Source organism: Homo sapiens, chromosome X (assembly GCF_000001405.40).
Source record: "Homo sapiens chromosome X, GRCh38.p14 Primary Assembly".
Taxonomy (NCBI): domain Eukaryota; kingdom Metazoa; phylum Chordata; class Mammalia; order Primates; family Hominidae; genus Homo; species Homo sapiens.
The window spans coordinates 151,887,786-151,903,707 of NC_000023.11; positions in this window are offsets into that span (position 1 = coordinate 151,887,786).

Here is a 15,922-nt window from a genome sequence, read left to right on the forward strand (position 1 = left end):
AAATACAAAACTTTTTGCAGAAATTTCCATAAATAACAAGGAGCCAAATGTTAATTGCCAAGACAATAAAGAAAATGTCTCCAGGGCATGTCAGAGACCTTTCCTGCAGCTGCTCTCATCAGAGGACTATAGGCCTAGGAGGAAAAAATGGTTTCCTGGGCCAGGCCTGGGAGCCCCCTCCTGTATGTGGCCTAGGGACCTGGTGCTCTGCATCCCAGCCACTCCAGCGGTAGCTAAAAGAGGCCAAGGTACAGCTTGGGCCGTGGCTTTGGAGGGTACAAGAAGCTCCAAGCCTTGGCAGCTTCCATGTGGTGTTGAGCCTGTGGGTGCACAGAAGTCAAGAATTGAGGTTTGGGAAACTCTGCCTAGATTTCAGAGGATGTATGGAAACACCTCGGTGTCCAGGCAGAAGTTTCCTACAGGAATGGAGCCCACATGGAGAACCTCTGCTAGGGCACTGCAGAAGGAAAATGTGGGGTTGGATCCCCCAAAAAGAGTCCCCACTGGAGCACTGCCTAGTGGAGCTGTGAGAAGAGGGCCACCGTCCTCCAGACCCTAGAATGGTAGATCTACAGACAGCTTGCACTGTGTACCTGGAAAAGCTGCAGCCACTCAACACCAGCCCATGAAAGCAGCCAGGAGGGAGGTTGCACCTTGCAAAGCCACAGGGACAGAGCTGCTGGATTCCATGGGAGCCCACCTTTTGCATCAGCATGACCTAGATGTGAGACATGGAGTCAAAGATCATTTTGGAGCTTTAAGATTTGACTGCCCCATTGGATTTTGGACTTGTGTGGGTCCTGTAGCCCCATTGTTTTCACCAATTTCTCCCATTTGGAACAGGTATATTTACCCAATGACTGTACCTCCATTGTGCTTAGGAAGTAACTAAGTTGCTTTTGATTTTATAGGCTTATAGGTGGAAGGGACTTGCCTTATCTCAGATGAGACTTCGGACTGTGGACTTTTGAGTTAATGCTGAAATGAGTTAAGACTTTGGAGGACTGTTGCAAAGGCATAATTGATTTTGAAATGTAAGAATATGAGATTTGGGAGGGGCTGTGAGTGGAATGGTATGGTTTGGCTGTGTCCCCACTGAAATCTCATCTTGAATTGTAGCTCCCATAATTACCATGTGTCATGGGAGGGACCTGGTGGGAAGTAATTGAATAATGAGGGATTGGTCCTTCCCATGCTTTTCTCGTGATAGTGAATAAGTAAGTCCCATGAAATCTGATGGTTTTATAAACAGGAGTTCCTCTAAACAAGCTCTCTCTTACCTGCCACCATTTAAGATGTGACTTTGTTCCTCATTTGCCTTTCACCATGATTGTGAGGCCTCCCCAGCCACATGGAACTGTGAGTCCATTAAACCTATTTCCTTTATAAATTACCCAGTCTTCAGTTTGTCTTTATTAGCAGCATGAGAACAGGCTAATATAATCTGTGAGCAAGATTTGTGAGATGGGCAGAGATTTCTGTAGATACCTCAGACTCTCAACTCAGTCTACTTTCAGATGGGATCAACAAGGAAAAGTTCATGCACTCTCTACCTGTAATTTTTTTGTCCTGGGGTCAAAGGGTAATAGCTAATTCGACAGTAGCAAAATCCAAAACCAGAAAAAGTGTCTACATCAGTTAGGGAGAAGTGAAGGGCTGCTGCTGGCTTTTGGCATAAAATAGAATGTGCCAGGCAGTGGGATCAAGATAAAAAGGAACCTGTCTGAATTTTCAAAACTCTGATGAGTGAAGATTTTCATTTAATAGAGATAAGCAGCAACCATTCACTGTAGGTATCATTCTCGCATCATTGTGTTTCCAAGGCAACTGGATTACCAGGGAGACCTGGGGAGTGTGTATTGCTCAGAAACTGTGTTATCAGGAGTGGCTCCGGCCCTTGCATGGACTTTGAAACCATAAAGAATATGGAATAGGTTTGTATTTTCCTGAAGGCCTTCAACCAAGGTCTACATTCTCCAGTGCTCTGACTCAAATGGTTGGTCAGAAATAAATCAGCCTGGATAATGTTGTCCCCTTACTTAGAGCTACAACTTGCATTGGCACAAGAAGTTACTATTTTGGCTCAGGCTAATCTCCAGCACTGGCACTGGATAAATAAATGTAAGACCAGATGAGAAGAGATCAGACGCTCCCAGATGGACCAGGACGTCATCATTCATTGTCAGACCATCTTTTTCTTCCCCTTCTCTCCTCACCCAGCTTCAGGTCAAGAATTTCTGCTGTTGGATGCTTGACTGACTGCAGTGGGGGTAGAGATTGAGAAATTCTGCCTATCTCATGCTTTGGACCTGTCTCTTCCAAAACTAGTGTCCCTTCCTGAGCAGTAGAGGAAGTAGGGAGACACAGAAGGACATTAGACAGAGTGAACCAAGTATGTGAAGACACAGATTTCAGAAAAATATTCTAAAAGAATAGTGTGGCAGGAGAATACAGTAGAAGCAAAGAGACAGGTGTGAAATGAAGCTGGAAAGGTAGGCATTGGAGCTAGCCATTGGAGGGCTTTATGTATGGGAAGGAAATGATCTAATTTGTTCTTTAAAAAGATGTCTTTGCTAGATGGAGAATGGATTGCATTAGGTAGAAGAGTGGAAGCTGGGAGACCAATTAGAAGTCATTTGCAGAAGTCTAGGCAGCAATTAACAGTGGCCTGGAAAGGGATGGTGTCAGTTGGCATGGTAAGAAGTGGGTGGATCAGAGAGATGTTTAAGGGGTACAATTGATAGGACTTGGTGATATATTAGACGTAGTAAGCAAAAGAGGGTGGAAAGTCTAGAATAACTGCTATCTTTCTGGCCTAAGGAACTGGGTGGAAGGTAATGCAGCTTACTGAGATGGCCAAAACTTGGTAAGGGGTTTGAAGGGTTGTTTGTTATATCGGGAATGAACTTACAACTAACCCAAGTCTTTCATGTTTGTATTATCATCAACAAGAAACATGTGGTCAATGTCCATGCAAAATGACTTTCTAAAATCACTTTGAAACATTTCTTCTGAGTCAATTATTACTAAAAACAGCAAACCAGCCAGGCATGGTGGCTCACACCTATAATCCCAGCACTTTGGGAGGCCGAGGCGGGTGGATCATGAGGTCAGGAGATCGAGACCATCCTGGCAAACACGGTGAAACCCTGTCTCTACTAAAAAATACAAAAAATTAGCCAGGCGTGGTGGCAGGCGCCTGTAGTCCCAGCTACTTGGAAGGCTGAGGCAGGAGAATGGTGTGAATCCAGGAGGTGGAGCTTGCAGTGAACAGAGATGGCACCACTGCACTCCAGCCTGGGCGACAGAGCAAGACTCCATTTAAAAAAAAAAAAAAAAAAAAAAAGCAAACCTATTTTCTTCAAGTGAGGCCCACCTTGCCTACATATTCTTCCCAAGTCCTTGTTCTGCAATTTTCTCTAACCTAAAGTTTATAACTCTTTCACCACTAAAACAACAGGACCCAATATTTCTCATTCTGGAGATAAACTGACTTTGACTTCTCAGCACAATCCTTCATCCATTCAGTCAATGTTTGAAAACCTGCTTTGTGTCAGGATATCTCCTGGGCATTAGGGATATATAAAGATGATATGGGCCATCCTAACCATCCACCTAGCTATCCATCAGTCCATCCATTTCTTCCTTCAGTCACTCTTACTCCTCCATTCTATCATGTTTTATTGCCCAGACCCACCAAGGCAGAGAAGCTGTGGCTCACAGGCAGAAGTGGTTAATGAATGCGGTGAGGGAAAATTGGAGAATGAGGCAGGAGAATGGAAGATTATCAAAACAAAATTAATTGCTTAGTAAAAAGCCATAACCTAAGGGGTTCATTCAACTCCAGTGAACTAATAACATCTTGTGTTTAGAGCATTGTGACAGTCACCCCATGTGTACTCTCAGCCCTTCCAATCCACTATCGCCACAGCAGCCAGAGGGATCTTTTAAATAGCTAAACCCACTTATCTTTCTCTCATGCTTAAAAGCTTCCAGTGATTTCCCACCACACCACAAATAAAATCCACATACCTTTTCATGGTCTTGCCAGGCCCTTATTACCTCTATGGTTTCTCCTATCACCAAAATTCTCCTAGGTCACTCTGCTGAAGGCTTCAGGCCTTTTTTCTGCTCTAAGAAGCCAAGATTTTCCCTAGTGATTGATCATGCTGGTTTTTTTTTTCTGCTTCAAATCTGTTCCTCCTGATTTTTGCAGGCCTGGCTCTTTCTCATCACTTAGGTTTCAATTGAGATGCCACCTCCCTAGGGAGACCTTCTGTGATGACATTATATATTTGTTCATTGTCTCCTCTAACAGAAAGTCCAGCATGATATCTATTCTTTTCACTACTGTAGTCCACATTCCTCCACAGGACCTGACCCAGAGTAGGTACTCAATACATATTTGTTAAATGAATGAAGACGTGAATGAATGGATGCCCCCCATCCCCACCCATTCATAGTTCCATCTAAGAGGTAGTTGTTAGTACTACACCTCCACTTCACTGATGTAAAGCCTAAAGAAGTGAAACAACTTGCCCATAATTGGAACCTAGGTGTAAAGCTAATGGCAGGCAGAAGGTCTGCTTCCCCAGTCCTTCATGTCTGACAGAAAGGTTTTCAGTCAGGCTCCACCAAGCTCCCTTCTTTTCCCTTTCTCCGGCCAGCTCTGCCATTCCTCATGAGGCACAGAGGTTAGTAGCCAAATTCCACAGGACACTATGGACAAATTACCCAGACCCAGTAATGAATCCAGAGGGTGTTAGCCAGCATCCTCACAGTCATTTAGAATGAGAAGTTAGAATAAGCAGCTCATCACTTGCCTGCTCACTTCTGGTCATGTAAGATGGCTGCATTATGCCCAGAGAAATTGGATAATCATGGAGAACTTAATCAAGTAAGTTATTTAGCCTCATGCAGCTAGTGGAAAAAAGGGTATATGACCAAACGCAACTAAATCCAATAAAGTTAGTTTGTAAGTAAGGATGGAAACTTTCATCCTGGTGGGTAATTTTATTGTTGGGGTGAAACTGAATGGGAGTGACCAAATATTCAGTGCTGATGGCTGGACCATTCAGGCCAGCTCAGCCTCACACCCATACCTCATATACTCATGCTCCAGATGGTTAAATTCCCCAGAACAGGGCCTGATTATAAGCTTAAAAGGGCCTAAACTAGAAAAAGGTTATGCCACTCTCTCATATGCAATTAAAATTAATGGTTTTGCTACTGTGTAAACCATAAATTGAGCGTAATAATGTTCGACACAGTTCTGGTTTTGCCCATGGTGATAGCTACCTATGTGCTTTGTCTTTTAAATGTCTTTTTCTAAATTTAATTTTTAAATGTCATTTTTCTTTTTATTCCCTTTCTTCTTCCTTCCCTTCCTTCTTTCCTCCATTTCTCCCTCTATATCTGTGCCTCCCTATCTCTGTCTCTATGTATCTGTCTCTGTCTCTCTCTCTTTATCTTTCCCCTTGCTGTCCTTACCCTGCTAAACTAGAGAAGGCTAACAGGTTTCAGTCCCCTCATTGTACCGATGGAACTTGGCTGTGCTGTGATGGCAGTCAGTGGGAAACAGAGCCTGTATAAATTTGTTAAAGGCCCAATTATATACAGTCTTTAAAGAAAAGTAGACAATTATTTTCATTACATAAAGCACATGGATTCTCACAGCAAATCAGACACAAAGTAGTAGCCTAGAGCCTTGATGCTGACTCTGATGCACAAATACGTCCTGTTAGCAATTAGCACATTAATTTGGTTCCAATGATGGCTATCAAAAGGCTTTGCCCCTTTGCAGGCTCTGCCAACGCTTTCCTCCCAGGGGAGGCCTAGCCCAGTCTAGGAGGCAGGAGCATTTGTGGATGTTCCATAGGAAGTTACTGTTATTCTGAGATATCTGCCTGCCCAGTCTACCTGCCTGACCTTTTGTTTAGCTGATAAGTGTAAACAGGCAAATAAGTTTGCTGAGCAACTTCTTAGCAGGGTAACCAAGGCCTCTGTGACCTTTTCTCTCACTTAAAACTTAGCTGGTGAGCCTCATCTACTGCCACTCTTCACCACCGGCCACCTGGGACTCTGGTGACATTGGACTTATTGCCATTGCTCAAACATGCTGCACATTTCTAGGCCTTTCTACAAGCTTCTCCCTTTGCTGGAAAAGTCTCTGCATCTCTTTGCCTGGTGCCCTCCAACTCAGGTTTCAAGACCCATCTCAATGTCACTTCCTCTGTGAATTCTTCTGAAAAATCTTAGCAGATTATTTTCTTCTCTGTGTTCCCCCAATCCCCTGTCTATCTTTCTTTTTCTCTTTTTCTTTTTGAGGTGGAGTCTCACTCTGTCACCCAGGCTGCAGTGCAGTGGCGTGATACCAGCTCACCACAACCTCCGCTTCCAGGGTTCAAGCTATTTTCCTGCCTCAGCCTCCTGAGTAGCTGGAATTACAGGCATGCACCACCATGCCCGGCTAATTTTTGTATTTTTAGTAGAGACGAGGTTTCACCACGTTGGCCCGGCTGGTCTCGAACTCCTGACCTCAGGTGATCCACCTGCCTCGGCTTCCCAAAGTGCTGGGATTACAGGCATGAGTACAGTATCATCACCTATTCTGTTTTGGGCAGGAACTGTGTCTTGTTCCTTATGTATTCTCTTTATCTTCTTCTTATCCCCCCGACCCCAGACCCCAGTGCTTTGCACAGTGATTGGTGCATGGGGGATTTTCAGTAAATGCCCACTAACAAGGTGAGTAGGGAATGCTCTCTTGGGGAAAGTCCTGGTTGAGAGCCTTGCTTCTCAAAGTGTAGCCCCCAGACCATCAGCATCAGGATACTTTGCAACATCTCAGATCCCAACCCAGACCTACTGAGTCAAAATCTGCATTGAATAAGATCCCCAGGTGTTTCTTATGATGATTAAAATGTGAGAAGCACTGTGAGATTTGATAGAAGGAGAGTAATAACTAAAAGAAAACAGAGCGTTCATGATCTTCTGTCTATTACAGGAACGAGCCTAAAGGTCAGAACAGGTTCAAATGCTCACGAAGAATGGGATACTCAGACTGTTCAGAGCAGCCTAGGAGAGCAGCTGGCTGACAGATTCCGCCTGGTCTCCCGATCATGTCTGTCCCATCAGGACCAAGCAGCGGGTGCCATGGCTGTGGGGTTTCACAGCCAATATAAAGCCAAGTGCCCTCAGAGCTGGCTCCTTGGCTGAAGTCGGCCAGCCAGTGACCAAAGCCAGCTTGTTACATCATCAAGCCAGTCTGTCCTAGAACTTTGCATCTGACTTGTTTAATCCAACTCTGATCCAAGTTCATAAAGAACACAAATCATTTCCACTAAATCCTCAGGTTTCTGTTAATTTGGCCAATGTCTTTTCTTATTGTATTCATATATTTTTAGAGAATGGAAGCAATTTTAGCTTAATTAATGCCATTATACATAGGAAAAGCCACAGCCATTTCCAAGAGATTGAAAAAGTCACTATGCTCCAAATCACATGCATTTCTCAGTTGGTCCAGGAGACAAAAAAGTCTTCTTTCTAATTAGTCATTTGTGGTGCCTTTTCCATTTGAAAATATTATTTCCATTTAGTTCTCCTGGGTCCAAAGTATTAGCACCCCTTCTCCATCTCAAAAAGAATTGGAATTTTCCAAGTTCACTCATCCACTCTCTGCTGCCAACTTTTCCTGAGGCAGGCCTCCAGGAAGCTGTCAGCCAATGTCAATGAGCAGACAGATGCGGAGAATTATCCAAAAGCTCAGATGCTGAAACCCCAGCTAAGTTACCCCCACCAGACCTCAGATCACATCCCCTGATCATGTGCCCCTATCCTTTGAACTCAATCCCACTGAAGTCACTTCTCTTTGACCTCAGACAGTTCTTCGGCCACGGGGTGCATCCCTTTAATCCCAGTGCAGCAGGTTCCTTCAAGCCTCTGTTCCTTTCATCCCAAGCCAGTCCCCCAATACATGATGGATCAGTGGAACAACTTTGTCCCCAGAACTCTTGATCCTTGTGCATTTATCTCTTTCTCCTGCATCCACTCAACAAAATCATATCCCTGGATGAACTAATAATCCATAATCCTATTTCTTTTCTTTTAGACCCAGCTCTGAGGCTAGCGGGGGCAAATCACACAACCATGATTAGCCTCATTATAAATCAGGGTTTGTCCTCAACTGAGCAATCACTGCTGCAAGGGAATATTTTTCCATGGCCATAGTGACCTTCTCCTCCAGTTTTCATCCAGCAGATAAGGCTGGACAGTTAAGTTGTAAATGAGTGGCAAGCTCAAAAAGTCTTGTACGACTGCAAAGAAACTGGCCAGCAAGACTTCTCGAATGTTTACATTCACCAGTCACTAAAATAAACACTTTCTGCTTTCCTCAAGCCTCCTAAATATTGTCATGTTTCTTGCCTATAGAAAACAACTTTGCTCTTACTTCCTTGAAAACATGGAGGCCATCAGAAATTAAATCTCTTAACTCCCTGACTCTGCCCTGCTATCGATGTATGAGTCTTCTCTGACCACTTCACCTCCAGGCTCAGAGGGGTCTCTCCTTCTGTTAAAGGTAAGCATTTCTCCCACACTCATACCCCTAAGTCCTTAATATGTCCCCTTCTGTCTCCTCATCGCTTTTTCCTTTTCTCTCCTGCTCCTTCATGCTCCTTTTCTCTAAGGTCTTCTCCAAACTTGAAAACACATTCAAATTGCTGCAGTATAAAAGAAAAAAAGATTCTCATAATTATTTTTTAAAACTCATAAACCTATGGCCTATAGTTTTTCTTTTTAAATCCAGCTTTATTGATGTATAATTAGTGTACAGAAAAACTGCACTACGGCACGTAATTAATGCATACAATTTGGTGAGTTTGGATATGCATATACAATCATGTTATCTTCCAACCACCATATCTTTCCCCCACTCCCTCCACCACTGTCAAACTCTTGGAAAGAGACATGTATGCTTATTGTTTCCACCCCTTACCAACCTCCCACTTGCTTATTAATCTACTCTACTGCTCTGGCCTCTACTCACTACTCCACAGAAAACCACTCACGTCAAGGTCAGCAATGACATCCAGATTGCTAAATCCATCATTAAGTCTCAGTCCTGTTTTTACTTGACCCCTTAGTAACACTGAAGACTGTTGGCCATGCCTTTCTGGAAACACTCTACTTCTTTGACTTACGATTTCTCTCCTCATTCTCTTTGGGGTTGCCACTTCTTTAACTATCTGTCAAATATTACACAACCCAGGGTTCCTTTCTTAAGGCTATAACTTTTTCCCTGGACAGTCTTCTCCACTATCAAGGTTCCAACCACCACCTCTAAGCTCAAGACACTTCTCCCCACAAAAACTTTTACTTGGAGCTCATAGCTCTCCTGACTTCGTAATGCATATAACAAACTATCCACACAACATCTCTAACTGCACATCCCACAGGCATTTCAAAGGCAGCAGAGCCAAACTGAACTCACCACCTCATCCTTACCCTACCCCATGCAACTTAACTGCTTCCCTGTGTTTCCTATTTCAGTGAATGATTGCATCATCCTCACAGTCACCGATGTAGTGACTTTGGGAGTTATCCAACTAATCTCCATATCCTGCTGATTTTTGTTTGATTTACATTTCTCAAGTCGATCCCTAGCTTTTCATCCCCATTGCCATTATATTAGTCTAGGTTCTCATTATTTTTTCTCTTAACTATTGCAACTACACCACAAGAAGTGGCCTACCAAGGTATGGGTTATTGATTGTAACATACTCATTTTAGTATCAGTGGCACTTTGGAGTCTGTAGGTAACTTAAAAGTAGAAAATGCAACTCTGACTCACAGATTTGTTGGCCATGTTATTGATTTCGCTTTCTCTGGATGAATGTCATGGGAGCTTGGGCAATGTCTCCAATCTATCTCCAAAAGAGAAATTCTGTAAATAACCCATATAAGAAAGAGAAAACTTCCTTTCCCTGTCATAACATTTTATAGCCCTTTCCAGGTTTAACCTCATGCCAACACTGTAATAACTCGCATTACATTTCTAGGAGAGAAGAGAAAAATCAACTGCTGCCAGAGTGAACTTTACCTTTACATTGCATATGTGATTCCTGGGGTGTCCCCTCTATCTTCTTGTGAATTCTCAACATTTTCTGACGTTTTTTAGAAAAGCACTGAAGGTACAAAACTTTACTGTATACCTTTGCACATACAGTGTCTCTAGGTCACCCTTTCATCTCTGGCCTCACTACTAATTCATTCCAAGTTATTAATTGATTGACTTACAAAGGTCCTGCATAATCTGGCCCCTGACTACCTCCCTGTTTGCATCTCTTACCATTTTCCTTGCTTTACTCCTTCCAGTTATACTGATCTATTTCCTGTTCTTTGAATAAGCTGCTTTCAACCTCAAGGCCTTTACACTGATTGTCTCATTTTCTTGAATTACTTTCATCCAAGAACTTTGTATGGTTTCTTCCTTCACATTATTCAAGTATGAGCTCAACTTTTAACCCTGGAGAAAGTCCTTTCCTAACCATCTTATACAAATTAGCATCCCCCTACCCCAAACATTATCCCATTACTGTGTTTTATTTCCTGCAAGCCATCATCATTATCAATATTTTTGTTTACTTTATTTATCTGTTGGCTTATTTATCATCTGTCTCCCCACACTACATTTTCAATTTCCTAGTGGCAGAAGCTGTATCAATCCTCTTCACCACTGTAGTACTGGAAGTTCAGTAGGTTATCCATAAGTGGTTGCTGGATGGATTAGTAAATGTCCACATGACATAGACCTGGTATATTAATCAAGGGAGAGGCAAAGGTAGAAGAATTCTAGGTCATCACAAGTTCAGTAAGTATTACAGTACAGGAGTCTGAGGAAACAATGGCAAAAATAATACAAAGCAGATAAAATGTAACTCCAGATCCTCTTCTCCCCAACAGCATATACACTTAAACCATGAACCCAGGGAAATGTTCTCTAATTCTGACAGAAGCCTCCCTTAGAACTTCGAAAATGTTGTTGAGGATGTTGTTCACTAAGTCCATCTTGTCCTCTTTATGAAGATCCCTAGAAGCAATTTCTTTCTCATGTATTACGTGAAATAGTTTTGCTTCTATGAGCCAGCGGTTGGTTTTTGTCTTTCGAACCCTGAGGATCATGTAAAGGAGAGTTTTTCTCCTAGAACCGGCTGCTAAAAAATTCCAGGCTAAGCCAAAAGTACAGAATCCCACAGCATGCGTGGTTTGCACAAACTTATCCCTGGCTCCATCTTTTTTCTTCTAATTTTTATTTTCCTTGAGCCCTGACACCCTGATCTTTAAAAAATCCAATTGTATCAAAGTTCTTTAAAAATTTTTACAAATTCAATTTTTAAGCCAGGAGAACTATGTAAAGAAAATACTCTCCTGAGCTTATTTGCCAGGTATACTTTGGTCCTCTGTTGTGACAGGAATGTCCTGTAAATGTAGCAAGTGGATGAAGCAGGAGCTTCCAATTGGTTGGTCTGGATCAGTCAGGGGGTCTTGAAATCTTTATTACTCACCAAGGCTATTTTTGGGAGCTCACCTTCCCTTCTGTGAGGACGGAATCTGAAACTGAGTCTGTAGCTAAGGGAAATCCCTCACTTGCTGCCCTGGCCCCTATCTGGTAACCAAACACTGGCAACGGTCTCCTCTCCCATCCATCCCACCATTAGACTGCAAGCCAAGGTAAGGACTACATCTTCTAGGCAATGGGGAGCTCTTGAAAAGTTTTATGAAAAGTTATCGTAAGGCATATTTCTCCGTCTGCAGGGTTAAGAGAACATTAGAGAGAAATAGGACTAGAATCAGGATGATTTACTAAAAAGCTGTTACAATAAGCTAGGCTAGAAGTAATAAGGGCTATATCAGTCAGGGTTCAACCAGGGAAAGAGAAGCCATTCCAATTTTTTTTTAGAGGATAAATGTAATGCAGGGAACTAGTTACATAGGAGATGGAATTACTGATGAGCCAAATTGCATACGATGAGTCAACCCAGAGATAAGTAACAGCAGGAAATCACTACCAGCCCTTGGCTGGAGAGACAAAGAATGGAACCAGGGTTTCCAGAATCCTGGGACAGGGTCACCTGGTGGAAACTGGAATCATGGAGTGTCTGTTGGTGGGAAATGGAATCACAGGGGAGACGGATGCAGTTTAAGGCAGAGAGAGGAACAAAATATATACCCTCCTGGTTTCCCCCTTCCTCTCACCCTCCAATCTCCCTCCAAGAGGCACAAGAGATTAGAAAATGCAGCCTGAAAAACAGAGTTGAGCAGAGGAAGGGTGATGAATAGCTCTGAGGGCAAATGGACCAGCATAAGGGCCTATATCAAGATGGTGGCAGTGGAGATGGAGATGAGAAGATGGAGTTAGAAGTTATTTAGAAGTGAAATAGGTGGCGTGGTGAGCACTTATTTCCAATTCTGATGACTGCTGGATTAATCATGGTACTCTTGTGTGGGAGTGTAGGAGATGAGGCTGGTTTGGGTCTTATTGAGGCTGAGATGCCTGTTAGGCCTCCAGGTAGAGGGACCTGGGAAACAACCATATACTTAGCTCAGAAGCTCAGGAGAGAGACGAGGCTGGAGAGAGAGAATGAATAATATTAGCCAGGGAGTGTATGATGACAGAGAGGAGAAGCTGGGAGGGTTTGGGGCACAGTCCTGAGGAGCACCCACACTTAATGGTTGGACAGAGAAAACTGAGGGGGATCAGCCGGTAATGAGAAGAGAGTCAGAAGAAAGTGATCTGTGAGAACATAGAGAAAAGAGTATTTCATGAAGGAAGGTTCTAGGTCTTCTATCTCAGTGATTTTGGACAAACCCAGTGCTCTCTTCTCCTATATTCCCTTTCTCCCTACCACCAGCCTCTGCTTGTCTCTACCCTGGCAGTGCCAGGCTTTACAAAGCCTTCAGTTTAAGAGCTTGTAAGCCTTGCTGCCACTATGGACAGTGTCAAACAACAAAAACTGAGCACCACTCCTCCTCTGTGCCAAGCAGCATGCTGGGTAACGTTAGGAGCCACCAAAATGGTTCTGAAGCAGTCATAGCCTTCTGAGATCCTGTCTGGTGGGCTAAGTGAAGTATCCGCATGCTAAGAGCTATTCTTACACAGAATCACATCCTGTAGGCCAGAGCATAAGAAGACATATATGTGAGGCCTCAGAAGGAGCTGGAGAGGGGCAGGTTTCTCCCAGTAGGTGCACCTCAGACAATGCTAAAGAAAGATGAGTCTGAGAGAGGAGGATGGAAGTGTTACAAAGAAAGCCCCGGAGGCATGGATGACGGAGAAATAGGGCCCGAGTTGGAGCTGGAGCAAGGGATTCAAGCCAGGGCAAGTTGAAGACCAGGAAGTAGGAGCAGATGGCTAGGACTGAGAATGGGATATGAGGATCTGAAGGTAAGAGGCCAACTGGCCTGCCCTTCTTGCATTATGGCCTGGTGTGCTGAGCATTTCCACATGTGCTTTTCTGCTAGAGCCACATGCGAACCCTAAGCTCCTAGCATCCTCGCTAAAGCAGCCCCCCACCCCCAGCACTTCCCACCGCTTTTCCTAGTGAATCTCCTTTGTAGCACTCAGCAAACAACGAATAATCTACTTTGGTCATTTATTTATGTATTCTAACCCTCCGCCCTCAATAGACTATGAGCTCCTTGAGACTTTATGTAACTGTCCCCTAGTGCCTGGAACAATCTAGCACAAAATCGGTGTGCGCTAAACATATGTTGACTGACCGAAGTTTAGAAAGGATTTGCAGGGTAGTCCACACTATATAGCTGGGAAACCAAGGCCCAGAAAGATGAGGTGGCTATGGCAAGGCTGCATAGGCAGCAAGGGGCCAAGCTGGAACTGGAATCGATCGAGGTATTCTGATTCTCATTTTGCCCCATCACCATGATGCCACAATTGCTTCTTCACTCCTAGCAGGAGACTCCAGGCCACCTAGAGAGGGAGGCTCATGTGCAGTGGCAGGAGCCCAGGCTTTGAAATCCAAGTTATGGTTCCAATCCTGGCTTTACTCCTTAGTGTCTGTGTGACTTGCAGCAAGTTACTTCACTTTTCTAGCCTCTATTCCTGAGCATGGTAACCTGGACCTCTCAAAACTTTTGGGAAGACTCATGAAGTCCACAGAAACACTGAGAAGAGGGCCCAGCCTCCCACCTTGTGGCTTTTGGTGGTAAGGAAAGATGAGTCTGAGAGAGGAGGATGGAAGTGCTATGAATAAATCCCCAGAGGCATAGAAGGCAGGGAAAACATGGCCTGGGCTGGAGCAGGAGTGACGGATTCAAGCCAAGTCAGTGAGAGGCCAGAGGCAGGAGAAGTGATGAGTGGGGCTCTCCATCAGGAAGACAAAGGCTGATCCTGGGACTTCTCAGGGTATTCCCCCTCCAGTCATCTGGGGGTCTATGAGACCACAAGGTCCTCTGCCTGGCCACTGAACTGTAGTAACCAGTGGCACTGACCCTGCAGGGGTGGAGAGAGGCTGGCAGGACAATCCACATAGCCTATGCAGACAGAGGGAGGGGCAATGAAAGAATAGTGGCACACTCTTAGAGGCACACATAGGCAGGTGAAACCACAGGGAACAGCCACATTTTCCCTGGATGATCCCAAGCCTGCCAGGCAATAGCAGCTCAGCTCTGCCATTGATGAATTTGCTTGTGATCTTCGACAAGATCCTGTTGTCTCTGGTCTTCAGTTTCCTCCATAGAATGAGGACCTCTAAGGTTCTTGCTGGTTCTGCCAGCTATTCTACTTGGCAGTAACAGATATTCCTTGCTCTGTACAGTGTTCTTTGTAAAGAACACGGGATACTCACAGCTGCTCAGGAGCAGAGCTCTGGCTGGCCCAACTGAGCCCCTATGCCAGTTGTGGAAAAGGTTTCACAGGGCAGTGGAAACATCAAAAGCCCCTTACCCTGGGCAAGACACTTTACCAAGTAGAACTCCAGGATTCTGACTTCCAAGAATGGAAATAGGAGCCTCCTTTTGCCTTTCTTCCAATACTATATATTAAAGAGCTTGGGAAACCGTAACGTGTTAGCTTCAATGTCTTAGTCCCCCCTTGGGGACTCAGTTTTTAGCAGAAATATGGGAATAGAGCAAGCTGTTAGACTGTCATCTATAAGTGCCTCACCACATTGTGTTCCTAATCCCCATGGTGCCGAGAGGATCACTGTGGCTGAGCTGCAATGTGGCAGAGCATGAGACTCTTGCATTTGGCAGTGGGCTTAGGGGCTGCTGGAAAAGAGAGTGCCAGAGAAACTAGTGGAAAAATATCTTCCTCACCAGGCTTACCAAGACTTTTGTCTGCAACACCCCAGTGCTCAGAGTGTGACTACAAGATGTCAAACAGCCTGTCACTTGTGGTTCCCATGTGGCACTTGGGTGAGGAAATAAAAGGTTACTGCCTTTGCGCTTGATGTGCCTTCCTCAGGAAACCTTTAGGACCAAAGTCCACATGTCTGGTGTATAAAGCAGACTAGATATTCTGCCTTAGTCAGGAAGCAGTACTTGGGTCATGCTAAGGAAGCAGCTGGGAGTTGGACAAGGTTGAAATTCCTGGATCATAACTGCAGAGGGATGAGTCACTCATCTGAGCCAGGGAGGCCAGGAAGGCAGAGCCAGACTTGGAGGCAGGCAGTGCACAAGAAAGGGAGGGACGTCCTGTGACCAGGCCAGCAAGCTGGCCTTCTATGACACTACCGATCTGGTTTTCTTCCTGGATACTGCCTGTGTGTGAGAATAACTGCCCCTCTCTGTGCCTACCTGCCTCTGTTGTAAGGGAAAGTGTTCATGGTTGGCAGATGCTCACTTCAGCTCAATGCGGGTCACTTTTACTGAAGGGATGGTTTGACAGCAAAATAATAGGAATAAACTT